At 38.7% G+C, this 17,843-nt stretch overlaps 1 protein-coding gene across 56 annotated transcripts in view, besides 1 other annotated feature; it reads left to right on the forward strand.

Moving 5' to 3' along the window:
* NRXN3 (neurexin 3) overlaps positions 1 to 17,843 on the forward strand; it is a 1,697,919-nt gene that overhangs the window by 1,151,410 nt on the left and 528,666 nt on the right. The gene's annotated exons all lie outside the window — the stretch shown is intronic.
* Positions 12,388 to 12,910: an enhancer, noted in NCBI's record as "OCT4-NANOG hESC enhancer chr14:79800513-79801035 (GRCh37/hg19 assembly coordinates)". NCBI's record gives its function as "activates a minimal SCP1, AML or CMV promoter by ChIP-STARR-seq in naive H9 embryonic stem cells {active_cell/tissue: H9 hESC(naive)}" and the evidence as "EXISTENCE:reporter gene assay evidence [ECO:0000049][PMID:30033119]".

The raw sequence follows: 17,843 nt of genomic DNA on the forward strand, positions 1-17,843 counted from the left end.
AATAACTATATTAATATACTTATATAAGCTACTACATATTAATAAATGATCAACATACCTATATTATTTATATATAAACTATATATAAATATAACTATATATATACACACACACACATATATATATGTAGTTGTAGAAAGGGTCTTTTTTAGTGAATTAAGACTTCATGAAAGGCCAGTTATAGTGGCTCATCATGCCTGTAATCCCAGCATTCTGGGAGGCTAGAGGATCACTTGAGCCTAGTAGTTCAAGATCAGCCTGGGCAACACAGCAAGATCCCATCTTAAAATAAAAAAGATCTCATGGTAACTAATATTTGATATGTATGATATATGACTTTAAGCAATATTACGTGACATCACCTTTCTCACATTCTAGGTTGCTGTTTACATTTTTTGTTCAGTAATGAAACAAACTCACGAGGAAGTAAACCAATCAACATTTTATGCATGGAGTTTTCTAAATCCTTCATGTGGCTTTGGTAGCATTTTGATTAGAAGCCCTTGAATTCTGTCCTGAGTGCTTACCCATTATCTAGTGATTTACAGAGTTTACAGGAGGACACCGAAATCACAGGCTTGACCGCATTTACGGATGGCACAGATACCAGATCCAAAAAGTTTTTAATGATCTGGAACCATGAAGTGAAATAAACAAGGAGCCCAGATTTCTTGAAGACCTCCTCTATGCCAGGCATTTTATGTCTCTCAATTCTTTGAGAGAACCTATGGCATGAAGTTATTAATTTTTTTCTAGATGGCAAAACTGAAAATAAAGTATATTCAATTAATTTCTCAAGGTCATGGGATTGAAAATACTGTGACTGAAAAAAATATTTTAAGTCTTCCTGATCCTAGAGTCTATCTTCTTACATTAAAATAAACATATTAAATAAATAAGCACAATCAGTTTAGGAAAGATTTGTTTTGATAGAAATCCATGCAAAGCAGGTCAGGGAATTTCAGTTGACCACAGATTCAATGGGGAACATCAGCTAATGAGAGAAATGTACAGTGCAAATTATTTCATTGTACTTAGTGCTAGTCAGGCTTAATAAAGGGTATGATACTTTGGCACCTCATTGCTTTCACAAACAAGAAGGCATTCTGAGTAAGAAAACATGAAGACAAAGATCCTAAACCTTTATCTTGTGGATGACAGCTAAGAATGCTCAGGTAAGAAATGACTGTAGTGACGGCAGGGGATGGATGAGGGCTATAACATCTGTTGCAATACATACACTGAATGGTGACTTTTTCTTTTTTAAATTGACACGGGGTCTAGCTCTGTTGCCCTGCCAGAGGGCAGTGGCGCAATCATAGCTCACTGCAGCCTTGAACTCCTGGGCTCAGGTGACCCTCCTGCCTCAGCCTCCCAAGTAGCTTGGACTGCAGGTGCATGCAACCATGCCCCACTAATTTTTTTATATATTTATTTTTAGTAGCAACAAGCTCTCACTATGTTGCCCAGGATGGTCTTGAACTTCTGGGCTCAAGTAATCCTCTTGTCTTAGTCTTCCAAAGTGCTGGCATTACAGGCATGAGCCACCATGCCTGCCCTAATGGTGTTTTTAAAGGAGGAATTAGCTGTGGTCAGTACAGATTTATTTGGAAGAAATGGAATCTGTGCTTAGAAGCCAAAAGGCCCATTATTATTCAATAAAAGGAAGCTCTTTAGAACACTTTGAACCTGAAAGAGTTAATGAAGCATGAGACATTAGGGTTCCCATATTTAGTTTAGATCTATGTGGCACTATTTTTAGAAGGTTACATTGTTTTTAATATTTTATATAGTAGGCCGGGCGTGGTGGCTCACGCCTGTAATCCCAGCACTTTGGGAGGCCGAGGCAGGCAGATCACAAGGCCAAGAGATCGAGACCATCCTGGCCAATGTGGTGAAACCCCATCTCTACTAAAAAATACAAAACGTAGCCGGGCGTGGCGGTGTGCGCCTGTAATCCCAGCTACTTGGGAGGCTGAGGCAGGAGAATCACTTGAACCAGGAGGCAGAGGTTGCAGTGAGCCTAGATTGCGCCACTGCACTACAGCCTGGGCAACAGAGTGAGACTTCATCTCAAAAAAAAAAAATTATATAGTATAATTCTAATAATGGGATGCTCCACTTCACTTGCAAGTACTTGCATATGGAGGTGTTTTTTTCCCCAGTATGAGGAGAGATCAACAGTAAATACCTATATTATTTCTATTGCTGGTCAATGCAGAAAATATTTGTTAAGCACGAAGAGTGTGGATGTGTTTGATGACTACAGAACTAAGGATTTCTCAAAGAAACAAAGAGAGAAGTCTAAGTTCAGGTGTGGAAGCCCTTGCCTAATTTGCTTCTTCACTTTTGCCCAGAAATAATTTGGCCAGGGATTGTGTTACTATTGTTGAATTAAACCAGACAGAATCAGGCCTATAAGAAGAGCCGTTTAGTAAAGGAAATGATTCTGTGAAAATTTTAGATTTGATAACTGACATGGGAGGTGTTTACCTTCTTTTGAAAAGCAGATTTAAAAAATTGAATTAAATATACACACAGACTTTTACACTCATTTTCAGGGAAGCAAGAACTCTATCATAATAATCACCAAATATCAATTAATCAGAAGGAAAAATAGGCTTGCAGGAAGAGAAAATCAGTTCCTTTAGACAAATGGTATTGACATAGAGATTCCAGGTATGTTTAGTTATATACCATGCATTCTGGATCAAATAGAGAGGCTTGTGACTTGTATCAGTATTACCTGGCTTCACAGCAGCAGGAGCAGAGAAAATATGCACTATGTTTAGAGATGAATTAGGAGAGTATGTCTGAAAGAACCAGGGATGCGTGGGCAGGTAGATTTGGTCAGGCATATTTATAATAATGAGCCATTGGATTTGGGATTGGGTGGAGGGAATAAAGTCAGAAAACCATTGGGTCATCTTCCCTAATAAAAGAGAACGTCTGTGGAGTTATAAATAGAATTGCCTAATATTTCATCTAATAGCTTTATTCAATCATTAGAACCTAAGCTTTCTTGTATCAATGTAAAGTATGTGTGTGTATATATGTATATATATTCATATGTGTGTGTATTATATGCATATGTGCATATACATGTGTGTAATGAAAAAAGAAAACAGCCCTGAAGAATCCTCAAGAAACTGTCAGACGTCCTTGTCCTTTAAAAGCTCCAGTTGCCCTTCTTGTCTAAACACATCAGTGCAGTGTGAATCCTGCATTATTCATGAACACATAAGGTCTGTATTTGTATACATTTATCTCTTGGCTATTTATTTCTATAATCTCTGCCCCAAACCCTCGCCATGCTTTGTCTTTCTCTTTTCCTACTTTTCTTTTTTTTCTGGTAGTTTGAAAAATAAACATTAGAAATAGCTATTTTATTGCTTACTTCTTTCCTTTAACATATGGCATTTGCTTAACCTCTTGGAGAGTTGTGGTTTTCTGACCCTGGAGTTCTGATGGGAAAGATAATGAGAAGTGTTTACTTAGCATCTAGGCCAGCAAGCTAAGAAAAACATTGTGCCATGCTAGTATTGACAAGGTGACAGAGAGCCCACACTTGCCTCACATGTTGGCCACTCCCGATGCTACATCCCACTTTACTCTTGCTGGAGGACTGACATTAATGCTTACTGTTTTGAGGTCTGGACATAATCCTGGTAGATTCTAAAACTCCTAGCAAACAGTGGTAGACAAGTCAAGGGTCTATAATTGCGTATAAACAGAAAAGTAAAGACTTACATATTTAAGCAACCTGCTAATCCCCATGGTCATTTAGTTCCCTAGTGGCTATTTTTAATTTGTCTTGTTTTTAGAGGCACTCTGAAAGCATGAGGCAGGTGAAAGCGTGTCTGTGTGTTGCTTGCATGCACATGCTTTTTCAAGAAGGTCTTCTTCTTTTCTTGTCAAGACTGCAGCTGTCAACTGTTCCCCAAAGGTGTTGCCTAGAATCAGCATGCAGCGCTGTAGGCAACCTGTCACTTAGATGAGACACCTTGTATATATGCTGTAGTTCACTCTCTGACTTGCCTGTGTGCACAATGCCATCTTGTCTGTTAGAAGACAGGGCCATCGTGAGATGCAGTTTCTCTTTGAGATATATAGTAGCTCTTCTTTCTTCAAAAGGAAAAAATAAAAAATAAAAAAAAGCTACTCTTGCTGGAAAGGTAGAGAGAAGGGTCTGCGGGTGCCCTCTACCATTGTGGTTTCAATGTCTAAATCTTCTGGAGAGGATTGCTGCAGTGATGAGATAAAAGCAGCTGCCTTTCCAAGTACTGTCTATTTGCATTGATATTTACATTCTTTGCCAAAGTGACATCATTAACATTTGCTTAGTATTTGTGCCACAGGGATATGTTTTACATAATTTAAGACTTGGAAGTGATGATAATGTATTTCAGATGGGCAGTAGAGGCCACAGAGTGCTGAATTTCATCCCCTTTCTTCTTAAGGACCTTAGTGCATAAATAAGTCCCTAGTCCGTATCCCTAAATCATATTAACAATACTGCTTACTGGGTGCCAACAATATGTCTGGTACTGGACTAGATATATGTGTATATATTGTTTAGCCCCCATGACAACAGTATGAGGGTAGGTACCATTATCTCCATTATATAGTAAAGAAGCAAGGCTAGAAAAATTGGTGACTTGCACAGGTCTGAATTCAGAGACATCTCACCGCAAGGACTTTTCTCCTTATGCTGTGTCATTCTATCTCCCATCTTGTAGCCTACTTGTTTCTTCAGATTTAAGAAACAGAAACCCTATATTTTCTCAGGACATGACACTTGAAATAACAAGAAAGAATATTGTGGGACTCTGACCTTGGTCCGTTTCTGTCTCTTTCATTCTCATCTTTACTCTAGGTGCCCAGAAACTCTTCTTTGAAATAAATATAAAAGATCTGTGTTTGCTTTGAGAGAAAGCCACATAACATTGTCACAAGCCAGATTATTGAACTCTGCCAGATGGCCCTTATTTACCAAATATATGTTTTAGTTTTATATACGAACAGAGGTTTTAAAAAGATAAAGACGAACAAAATTGTGTTTAATGTCCTGTATGATACCTTTTGCCTTATTTACAAACTGGTCCTCTCTCTGACTGTACCTGCTCCTGATGCCCCATCCTCAATGTCCTCCATCAGCATAAAAAATGTGAAACCTCTTTTTCAAAAACAAATTTAAAAAAAAGTGCTCAGTCTCTCATCTTGAGATGGAGAATTAGAAGCAAATTTGCCCTTGCTTTTCTTCTTAATCTTCCTTCTTCCCACCTTCTTTCCCTCGCTCCCTTCTTTCTTCTTTCTTTCACACCATGTGCCCCAGAATGACAGCTCAGGGAAAGTAGGCATTATAAGCTGAGTAGCCTTTTCCTTGATGTCCCTTGAAGGGCTCCTTATGTTCAGAGAATATATCACTGCATTTGCAGCTCCCCCAGAAATGCCGTAGCTTGGAGGAGCCTATTACTCACTTGAATCTCTTTGGTGTAGACCTATAAATAGATTCTCGTCTTTTCCTTGTAACCCCCTATAGATTCTTGATTCAAGGGTCAAAAATGGAGAGATGAGAGTTCAATCTTCTTGGAACTTACTGACACCCTAGCTCCCTTTTAAGAACTTGTCCTCCTTACTAACACCATCTACATGGCCATCTGGGTCTTCTCAGCTCAGAAACACCCTGCAACAATGGCTGGCGGAAATAAGGGGAGGGCCCATTTGAATTAGCACATTCCCCCACAAGCACACACATCCATACTGCCAGGCCTCTGTTTGTCCAGTTTCCTCCTCTTGTGCTGTTCTTCCCACCCTTCTCCTCAGTGCAGTTCAGATATCATCTGTGTCCCATGAAGTCTACTCTCTCCCAGGGGAAACCCTTTGAATTTCCATTGCATATTATTCTGTGCTTCTTTTTATGATTAATCCCATTTACCTTGTATTATATAAATATATTTTGGTCCTTATTAGATTATATATACTTGGAGGAGGACAGTATCTTTCTTTGGTCCATTGGTGTGGCTACCACAGGCTCACAGCATGGCATTTGGTTGCCTAAAATGATATGTCTTATCCGTTCTTTGATGTACAGATAAGAAAAGCCTTTATTTAGTTTGGCTTTCATTTTGTTCAAGAACAGTGGCACAGTTTGGTTTTTCTTGATATCTTTCCCTTATTCATGGTTGCTTTTCTCAAACAGCACATGTGGGGCTTAATACCTAGATGATGGGTTGATAGGTGCAGCAAACCAGGTGGTACAGGGTCCTGTGTGACTCTACCATGGTGCACATTTACCTGTGTAACAAACCTGCACATCCTGCACATGTATCCTGAAACTTAAAATTTAACAGAAAAGGAAAAAGAAAAAGAAATTATTATAAATGTAAAGTAATTAAAAGTATATTATTTAGGAGGGACAGTAGATATCACAAAGGTAAGCATGTTTCATTCTCAAATGAAATACACAAATTTATAAAAGTGAATTCAGCACCAGTGGTGAATATAAAAGGCTGTTAAGGAGGAGGAGCTAAAGTTTTGATTGGAACTTGAAGAAAAGGTATGTTGTTATAGGCAGAAAACTTGCCATGCAGGTGATCATGTTAGAATCAGTGTCAGACATTAACAAAACATTTTCAGTCAAGGGCAGAGAGTAAATATTTTAGGCTTTTTGGAGGCTGATTACATAATTTGCACAATGAAATAGTGGGTCCCTTTTTCAAAAAGCAATAACGAAGTGCCATGAGAAGTACTTAAAACATAAAGCTCTTTTTCCTTTTTCCATGGTTTCTCTCTCTAAACTTGTCATGTTGTTTTATATTTGCTCTTCAGTGTCATTCTAAGGAAAGAAAATGTTAAATTATTAGCATGAATTTTGCCATTCATCTTTATATTATGCCATGCCAGTCTTAAATAAGTTCTGAATAAGAACTTCTAATTCATTTGCAGAATTACTGACATAGGAAACATTTCTTATTTCATAGCTCATGCAGTGCATATATGTTTTGTTCTTACCAGAAAACTGGACACACTGCACAGATTAACTCACCTGTTTTTATTTATTTCACTTCTTGATATACACATATTCAACAAACACTCTCTTCCTTTGGCTTCCTAATGAGTAAGAAAAGACTGAAAAGAAAAGAAACTGAGTTGCTTTTTCTTTTCTTTTCCTTCTTTGACATAATTTTCAGCTGAGGTGGTTGGTCAATTCATGGAAGTAACATGAGTAAGAAAGGCTATAATTAGGTTCCTTAGTCATTTATGTTTCTTAGAATGCCATCGTTTTCTTTCTGTGTTCAAAGCAAGTTTTGGTTCCAATGGAAAACATGTTCTTTAAGGACTGTCAGCATCCCAGCTTACTCAGAGTAGATGTGAGAGACTTTGCAATCGCTTTGAGTCTCATTGAGTGTGCATCCTAAGTCTACCAGAATCTTCTACTCCCGGGGTATTGTGAGAGCTATAGGGGGTGAAGTGGCAAGAAACAATGGGCATGTGTATAGTATATCCATATGTTTATGCATCTCTCTTTTGCTACTGCACATGCCTAATTGTTTCATTAGACTTCATTCAAAAACACAAATTCAAAGATAAAATTATTAAGTGTTTCAAGACGGAGAGACAGGAGAATATTAAACCAAGAGCAGGTGGTACAGGGTCCTGTGTGACTCTACTGGCTGCATACCCATGAAGCTTCACCTGGGTTTTGCAAGCCATATGGTCTCTGTCTCAAGTATTTAGCTGTTGTACCATGAAGTGCGGCTATAAATGATATGTAAACAAATGGACGTGACTGTGTTCCAGTAAAACTTTATTTACAAAAAACAGGTAGCAGCCAGAATCTGGTCTGTGGGCCATTGTTTGTTGATCCCTAGTTAGGCAAAAACATGGAGATGAGAATATGTGAGCCTTGTTTGAGAATTGCTTAGCTAGTGTGAGGTAAGTCAGGGAATTTCAGAAGAAAGCCAATTATGAAAGCATGGATTGGACTGTTTGAATATTTTCCTCTAGTTGATAAAGTGACTGATGGCTTTAGCTACTGAATTAACGTGATCAAAAGAGTTTTTTTTTTTTTTTGGAGATGGAGTCTTGCTCTGTCACCAAGCTGGAGTGCAGTGGCATGATCTTGGCTCACTGCAACCTCTGCATCCTGGGTTCAAGCAATTCTCCTGCCTCAGCTTTCCGAGTAGTGGGAACACACCACTACTTCCAGCTAATTTTTGTATTTTTAGTAGAGATGGGGTTTCATCATGTTGGCCAGGATGATCTTGATCTCTTGACCTCATGATCTGCCCGCCTCGGCCTCCCAAAGTGCTGGGATTACAGGTGTGAGCCACCGTGCCTCGCCCATCAAAAGAGATTTTTAGTGAATTAATATGGAAGTGTCCTATCACAGAGATAGGAAGGGGTGGATCTGTTAATAGACAGATGAACAAGGGAGCTATTGTGAGAGTCCAGGTATGAGATGATAACAACTTGGAGTATTAAGAAGGGATTTGCAATGATGGAAATATTTGATTCCAGAGGAATTTTAAGTGAAGTGTCACCAGGATGTGGAGAGTGATTTGATGTTGGGGCTGAGAGAAGAAAAGATGGGAAATTTCAAGGTCTTGTGCCCGGAAGGCTGCAAAATGGATAGCCATTCATTCCCTGAACCTGTATTGTGTGTATCTTCTGTTTGCTAAAATAACCATGAACAGAAATGGCTGGTGGGCTGCTGATTTTAGGTGGCTGCAGAATTTTGGTCTATTTGAGTTGATGTTGGGTTGCCTAATACACATGATGCTTACAAGGCATTCAAGATGTGTCACTGGCATAGAGGAGTGGAGTGAGGGATAGAAGTAAAGGTAGGTAGCCCATCTTCACAGAAAGGTGAATTAGACCAGCGACAGCAGATACCATCTCCCAATGGAGAAAGCATAGAGAAGAGAAAGAAAAAGAAAGAGGCTCTAATACCCTAATCACTTACATACCCTAGTGTAGTCCTCTATGCTTTTCAAATTAAGTAGATATTTCACTTTCCTGTTTAACCTTGCCTGGAAAGATTGAGAGGTCCATGTCTAGTCACAATGTTAGAATGAAATAAATGTGTGAAATAAATCATGTTTATAGTGTAGATCCCCTTCATCTTCATCTTTGAGTCAAATGCCAAAGCCATTTGTTGGCTCAGTAACGTTTCACTTAGAAAATGAAACTTTTATTTTGGCTAAACGAGTATGGTGTCCTGGTCCTTTCCCAAAAACATACCTTCAATTTTACCCTAGCTGGCTGATTGACTGTTTCCTTTACAGATGCAGTCTAGGGATGCTAAGGGCAACATCCTTTGTGATAATGAAAGCCTTATAATGTATTTTTTCCAGTAACTTAGGATGCTGTATATTAAGCTGTATATTGGTAAATATTTTGTCTATGTGGAGAAATGTAAATGAGATTTTTTTTTCTTTTCATCATTCTTCTCTACAAATGTGCATTGAAAAGACACTGAACTTTGGTCCCATGCTTATGCACAAGGTATAAAAGTTGCTTATATTCCTAACCTCTCCACAGAGTTGTCTAGATTCACAGGACTATTTGGTCAAATGTTCTGCAATTCAGTTCCACTGCTTGACTGTAATTCACCTATAAACCCAGAAAAATACTGCTGGAGTTCAGAGGCCCTGACTGTTATTAGACAGAGAAAACCTATAGCACACTGGAACAATCACATTTAAAAGATTTGCCTCAAGCTTTCTATGGTCACTATTACTCTTTAATTTATGCTTTTAGGTTTCAACTTTGAAATGATATTGAAATTTTCATTATGGGCAACCCTGAATCTGGAAAAATCCAAGGCAGCTTTTAGGACAGTCACCTTTAATTACCCACCACCGTTAAGATTAGGAAGTAAATGCTGAAATTCCCATGTAAGTGTATTTTGCAAGAAATTTTCACACTATGAAATAATTGGTCTTTATCTCTCATCCTGTCTGATTCTCTATCAAGACATATCAAACATGCACCCCTCTGCTCAAAGTGTAAAAAAAAAGTTTGCTTTTTAAAGTTTTAATTAAGGCTTTTGCTGTGTGTGTGTGTGTGTGTGTGTGTGTGTGTGAAAGTACTACACACTTTAGTTGTTTAGGTGTCATTGTTGAGACATTTAGACTGTATTTCATTCAGGCAGATACTTTTACTTTATTACATTCCCAAATGAGGAAATGTGCTGATTAGATGGAAAAGCATGTGTGTATCTTATAGTGTTAGCAATTTGGCACGGTTTTTGTTTTGTTAGCTCTCAGCATGGTTGCCTTCAACTATATTTACACCACATGGGTGGGCATGTGTTAAAGATACAAAAATCCTCAGACCTCTGAATTGCATTCCTGAAGGAGACCTTAATTCTATTAGGTTGGTGCAAATTAAAATGCCGTTACTTGTAATGGCAAAAACCGCAATGATTTTCGCACCAACCTTATACTGCTTATTGCTTTTGCCTCTTCTGTAATGAAAGGCTTCTAACTGGTTTGCCTGCCTTTGATTTTAGCTTTTTGTGTAGCCTTGGTCATATCAAGTTTCTGCTGAAAAATTTGGCATGGCCTTTGATTTCCCAGTCTCATCTCCTACAACTCACCAGTATGCACCGGTAGTTCCAGTCCGCAATACGTCCTGCGCTGTCGAGCTTACGCACCTTTCTGTGTGCTGTTTCCTCTGCTAAGAATGTCTAGTGAACTTCTACTCACCGTTTAAGACCAGATTTAAATGGCATCTTCCTTACAAATAAGTTGATTGATCTATCATTTTATTGATTCTGTCATTCAGAAACATTCCTTCAATGCATGCTATGTTCTGGGAAACTTTCTCTAAACGGACTCAAACATTTCTTCTTCTGGGTTTTCCCAGCGCTGGATACTCTGAGTCATTACTAATCCACACTGGGTTCTTGTTTTCTAGGCTGCATCCCTCAATAGACTGTGAGGTCTTTGTGAGAATACAATTGCTTTTGTGTTTAGTTCCATATTCACAGCGTTCATTCTAGTGTCTGGAACATAGGGTTCCACTACATGCACTACACATTTGTTGACTAGAAAAATGATTCGTTTTATCAAGGGACTGTCTTAGGAAATACTAAGTGGGGTGCCTTTCTGATACATTGTAATGACCACCCTTTTCTCTGTTCTCTAACGTTGTATCCCAAAGTAGATAAACTAGAGTTTTATCCTTACCAACCATCTTTCTCTCATCTCCATCCTACTTTCCCAGCACTCCCCTGCACCCCCCTGCTGTGTGCAAAGCTCCAATCCCGGGAAAATACCATGCAGCGCTTTCATTCTAAAGGGGAGCAATTGAAAGCATTTCTTTGGTAATTTAAGCACACAGCAGCTACCTTTGCAAAAGCCTGGTTGCTAAATTATCCCCTCAACTACTCATTTTGCAAAAGGGAAAAGAAAAAAAAAACACACTGGGGGGATAGAGACTCTAATAAGAAAAGAGTCTGTGTTTTCTTTAGGTTCAGCCTGATTCCTCTCCACCTCCTCTCCCTTCAGTGACTGCAAGGCTCCTGGTGTGGCTCGTTCTGCTACTTTTCCTTTTAATGTTTTAAATGCCACAAATGCTTGTCATAAACCACCTTCTTAATTATGCAGAAGTGGAGCTGAATGGTTAGTTAGCAGTTCTATTGCAATTACTGCACTTTTTCAGGTCTGCTGCTGTTTTATGTGGCACTGTTTTCTAAGTTGCTGATTAAGATGATGTAGTGGGTGGAGTTCTTCTTCCCACCATTGGAGAAGGGCCGCTGAAGCCTGGGATAATGAGTCCTTAGGCAATAGTTTATGGCCTAATAAGAGTTAAGGATGGGAGCAAGGAGGAGATGGAGAGTTATGCTCATTCATTTCCTTCTTAAAAAGAAAAAGCCCTCTGGTTTTGTTCAACTTTTGCTTCTCCTTTGTCCAGTGTAGATGCTGAAATTGCTAGAGAAATATCCATGATGGCTCTTAGCAGTCCTAATCTTATTTGGACCTGATATTCTGAGGCTTTTAGGCATCTTCAGATATCCTTGTGCAGTGAAAGAGCCTTGCATTGGAGTTGAAATGATGACGAGAAAATTTAAGAACTGTTGAGAATTTGAATCAATCTCTTCATGTTGCCATCTCTCTCTCTCTCTTTTTAAAGCCAAATATGAATACTGCTGTGTGCCGATCTTGAGCCCTGAGAAGCTGCACTTCCAGTGTAGTTCTAGGTCCCCACTGAAAATAAAATAATGTGAAATTGAAAGCAGCATGCTATTGTAAAGTAGTGCAATCATTCGTTCATTCACAGGTACTTACTGAATGCCTACTATGTCCTAGGCACTGTGTGAGGCCCAGGGGATGGGGCTAAAAACAATATAAACTTCTTGCCTTTATGGAATGGCATTCTAGTCAGGTATACTGATATTAAACCAATCTGGAAATAAATATATACTCTTCAATGGTGCTATGAAAAAAATAAAGTAGAATGAGGTGCTATAAAAAAATAAAGTAGAATGAGGGAATGGAGAGTGTGCTAGGGCATGCTATTTTGGGTGGAGAAGGTTTCTTTGTGGCAGTGACATTGAAATAAGTGCCTGAATGAGGCAAAGCAACAAGATGTAAGGATATCCAAGAAGAGCATTCCATGCTGAGGAAATAGCAGGTATAATCACCCTGAAACAGGAATGCACTTGGCTTATTGGAGAAACAGTGGGAGGCTGATGGCTAGAAGACAGTGAGCCCGCAGGGCAGGACAGGGGGTAAAGTGAGGTCAAAGAGATAACCAGGAGCATATTGTGTATGGCCTTGTAGGTGAACAAATGGGCTTTGAATTTAATATAATTTAATTTATATTTTAAAATCATCTTGGCGGCTGGGTGCCAATTATACCATAAAGAGGCAAAGTAGAAGACTGGAGCCACCGAGGAGGCTGCTGCAGGAATCTAGGCAAAAGATATATTAGTGTGGTAGTGGCAAGCGTGCTACATTATTATGATGTCCTCGGCCTTCTTAAGTGTTTGCTTCATAAATCAGTAGAGTTGTGAGCTGTGACTTGGACCTGATAATGAATCATTACTTATTTTAAAATTGATACATACAATAACATTCTTAATTTTTTATAAGCTCATATAAAATATTGAAGGAGGATTGGTCTTATTTTGCATCTGTTTATTAAACATTAGACTGGAGATAAGGTTGTGAGGCCCTAGAGCCAAATAAATATTCCCAGCCTTGCCTGGCAGACAATTATTGGGTGTGGAGGTTACCCAGCCTCCATGTTGCCTCAGTGACTCCCTTTCCTGTCCTTCACTAGGTAGGAGGCAAAAAGCTCAGCAGTGACACACAGGCTCTGCTCTCCTAATTGCTGTAAAGAACTGTGCTGTTTCTTCTTCAAAATGTTGATTGCAGGCAGCTACAGGGATGTGCTCTTATGTTACAGTATAAAGATTTTTTATTGTAAAGAAAGGAGATTTGTTGGCATGGTGGGATGTGTGTATTTGTGTGTGTGTGTGCAAGTAGCTGTGCTTGCACTGGGAGACTATTTTACTTTGCTTTTTTCCTCTCCCATTATAGGAAGTAATTTTTGGAGGAAAATAGTATGACAGTCCTGATACTATTTTATTTATTTTCTTCTTCAGAGTAGGTACAACAGAAAATCCTGAATTTATGCTTGTTGTATTTTTTCTCCCTATTATATTTCTGCGTGTTCACACCCCTCTATTAACAGAGAAAGTTTATGCTATATTCTGTACTCCTTTTACTCTTTTTATTAAGAGAAAGTGAGAAAGCTGTCCTAGAATTATACAAAATATACATATATTTTTCCACATCTGAAGGGTAAAGGAATTGTAATTCATGGGAATAGAGTGTTAAGGGCTTATACAATGATATATACTATATATATATCATTGTTTGTATGTATGTACATATATTGCACATATATACATATCACTTTTTGGCTCTACTTTTATTATTTTCAAGTTTCTTTTATATAACCCCAGCTGCTCTTCTGCATTTAGTTAAGTGCAGTCCTACCATGTCTAGAACCCCCTTCTATTCTGCCTACATTCACGACTTTCATCCCTCAACTCTGGTCCCATTTATCTGTCACTTAGCATTAACTACGTTATAATGCCATTTATCCCTTTTGTGCATGCATTATTTCTACTCAAGTGGGCCATTTGCTTTTTTAGGGCAAATATCATAATATGCACCTACTTATATGCTCCACATCTGCATCAATTCAGACAGTTTGGTTGCAAGCAACAGATACTATAGGCTTAGACTACCTCAAGTTGGTCAGGAATGTATTAAAAGTCTTTGGGGTAGCTTACAGAATCAAAGCAAAGACTAAAGGAAGAGGTTTCCAAAAACAATCAGAGAATCTTGGGAGGTCTAAGTAACAGGGACTAATTAATAGCTATTTTAGGCTGCAGCTGCTAGAATGCATAAACTCCAATTATTTCCCCCCATTCTTACAACAGCCTGCTGAAGCCTCCAAGGTATTGGGTCATGTGCTTACCCCTAAGAGAAGCAGAAAAAAAAATCACCTTTTGACAATCCTACACCTCTGTGAACAATGGGAAGGAGATGTAATTTCCCAAAAGAAAACCGGGCACTGAGTGGCCCAAAACAATTGTCCTCTATAATATCAAGCATACTTTGGTGTCCACAGTTGGAGCTCTTTACAGATCTGGTGTCAGTGATGGTGACGACAAGGAGAAGGAAGAGTTGTAAATGACTTTGCTCTTTTGAGTAAGTGATCATCAAATGTCCTTGCAGTCAGAATGGCAAACAAATGGCATGGCCTGTCAGTATCTGAAGTTAATTTGGGCTGGCTGTCCTTTCTTTTTGGATATTTAGGTTTCAGTAATGATTTCCCGAAGGCCACAATAATAAACATGTGTTATGTTATAAAAAGCGGGTGCTGCATACATTGGAAGCAAGGCCCCCTAATTGAATCACCTGTGCTATGACTCTTTCAACTCCTAAGGCATAATTGAAGCACTATCTCAGTTGGCATCTTTGTGGTTTCCATCCACACATTCTTACTTTCTGGTAGCTGGATTATGAACAACCCCAAGGTCAGGCTTGTGTAGAACCCAACATCTTACATATTTTACTATTGATAAAATACACCCTGAGTATAAATGTTCACATAACACTTTCTCTCATCTCTATAGTTATGTTTCTTTCTTATGACCTTGGCCACATACTTTAAACTCCTTGGGAAAATATGCTGCCGTTAAAAACGCTTCACCTATTTCTTGAAAAATGACCGACAAGATGTTTTTCGTCCAATTCTGTCGTATATTTCTATTCCCTAGATTTAAATTTCCTGGACTTAACTGTTCCCTATAGTTAGCAGAAACATTATTTTAAGAACAATTTAAGTTGAACTTCATGTGAAACTGGCTACTGAATCTGAGTCGGGACCTTCTTCTGGAGGGAGGTAATTAAATATTCCTTATTGATGCTATTTTAAATGTGTTGAATGAAAGGAGTTAATTATACAGCAGGGAACATGGCAGAGTTCTGACTAATAATGAGCTCAATGTTTAATGTCTTCATCTTTGTTAGAATCATTAAAGTTGTTTGAACCAATCAGATGTTTCAAGTGAATGTAGACTCACAGCTAACCAGCTCCAAATGGCAATCCCTCACAGATGCAGGAGCTGGTATATCTAATGATGACTTCAGGAAAAGGATGGCGATATATTGCTTTCTTCCATGCAGTATAATCTGTTTCAGTTGGTCTTCCATCGTGATGGTAAAGAGAAAAGAATAAGTCTTATTTCCAAAATTTCATGTGTTATAATGGAATGATGTTTGTGCCTGGACATATAAAAGAGGAAATGATTTTGTTTTTTCCTTAAAGTTTTACGTAGCCAATCTCTTTGGAATCTGGTGCAATATTGACATTTCTGGCTGCCAATTCCTCACATGATAAATGCATTAACACTAAATCTTAGGATGCCCAGGAATCACTAGAGGACCAAGCACTGTCCTAAAGAATGGATCTCCTGTAATACTGTTGTAGAGAAATGTAGGCTCTTGAGGTCAGGTTTTTCATACCGTATTACTGGTTTGTTATGTGTCTTTAAATAAATTTTGCAAACTCCCCGACACTCAAACTACTTCCTCTTAAATTTCTCCTCCCTTCTGATTGCTTCACCAAACAGCCTGTGGCTTTGTTTTTATTTACAGGACTCCTAAGACTCTGTCCTGTCCTGTCTATGCTGGGGAATGTAAAGTACAGAAGATTACTTCCTTGGTTCTCCATGGAAGTCCTTTTACCCAGCTGTGAGGATTGTAACAATGATTGGCGGTGACATCACTCTATTACTGAACTTCACATATGGGAGTTGGGAGACTTTGAGGAATCAGTAGGGTGAATTTACCAAGTTCTCCCATGAGCCCAGGCAGCCGGGGTGTGTGTGTGTGTGTATGTGAGTGTGTGTGTGTGTGTGTGTGTGTGTGTGTGTGAAGGAAGAGTAAGTGTTAGGACAGAACAGCAGCCATCATGGGAAAGGGAAATCCTAGTTCCACCTAGGATGGTTACTTCGTGGAGAGGGTTACTTTGGGTAGTTACGGCAGCCTTCAGGGTTTTCAAGAATAATATAACATATATGATTTATATTTTTGAACTTCGATTTTACCACTGCGTTCCCTCCAGTGTACTTAGTAGAGATAGGATCATGTGTATCGAGAGCTCAGGCTTTAGAATCCCACAGGTCTGGAATGAAATCTCAGCTCTGACTTTTACTACCCATGTGACTTTGGACAATTTATGTATCCACTGTCAGCCCATTAGATAACCTTTAAAATGGGAATAAAGTAGTGCTTGCTTTGCAGAATTGCTGTATGGATTAAATGAGATAATTCAGGTAAAGCACATAGTTGAGTGCAAAATTAATTTATCACATATTATTAGAAATGTGGTTGAAGATTGTTTTGTTATTTAGATGAATCATATTTAAATCTTTCATTTTCAAGTATCTAAGACTTCCAAGGACTAAAACTTCCCTCTGAATTTTACCACTCATCCCAGCTGGAGATCTAAGATAACTATTTTTGTGTTTGTTTGTTAATTATTTGACATGTTTCTTCTCAAATTAAGGGAAAATTCTTATTTCGGAGTCACTGTTCAGAATGAAAATGTGAGACTAAGTATTTGTTTTGCAAAGCGCAACAGAATAGAGAAGAAAAGTTGGGCATTCTGTAGGGCGACCCATTTGGAAAAATAAATCCTACCCCTTTTGAAGGGGAGAAATTAATGAGATGAGTGTCAGTCCCTCCCTCCCCACCCACTGACCTCTCTCTGGGATCACACACCAACAGCCTATGATGAAGTGTTGCTGCAGTGCAATGGAGCAAGGTTACCTTCACAGTAACAGCTTTTCTCTGGCCAGATTACTTTATAGCCAAAGATGTGGTTATTTTCACCTAAACGTTTCATTTAAATACATTGTAAAGTGTGACCTAGGAAAACGAGACAAAATCATTCTAAGCTGTATAGAGTTGGATTGTTTGTAGAAATGCTGGACATTAACCAATGACTCTCAACTTGAATGTACATCAGAATCCCCAGGAGGGCTTGTTAAGAAACAGATTCCTAAAACCTTACTCCAAAGTAGGTGTCAGGTGGAGCCTGAGAATTTTCATTTCTAACAACCTTCCAGGTGTTGCTGATGCTGCTAGCCAAGGAACCACACTTAGAGAAACACCTTCAAAGTGCATATTTTCGTGTCTTACTATTCAAAGTATGCTCCCTGGACCACCTGCATTAGCATCACCTGAGACCTTGTTGGAAATGCAAATTATCAGGTCCCACTTCAGATGTAATGAATTAGAATTGTA

Source organism: Homo sapiens, chromosome 14 (assembly GCF_000001405.40).
Source record: "Homo sapiens chromosome 14, GRCh38.p14 Primary Assembly".
Taxonomy (NCBI): Eukaryota; Metazoa; Chordata; class Mammalia; order Primates; family Hominidae; genus Homo; species Homo sapiens.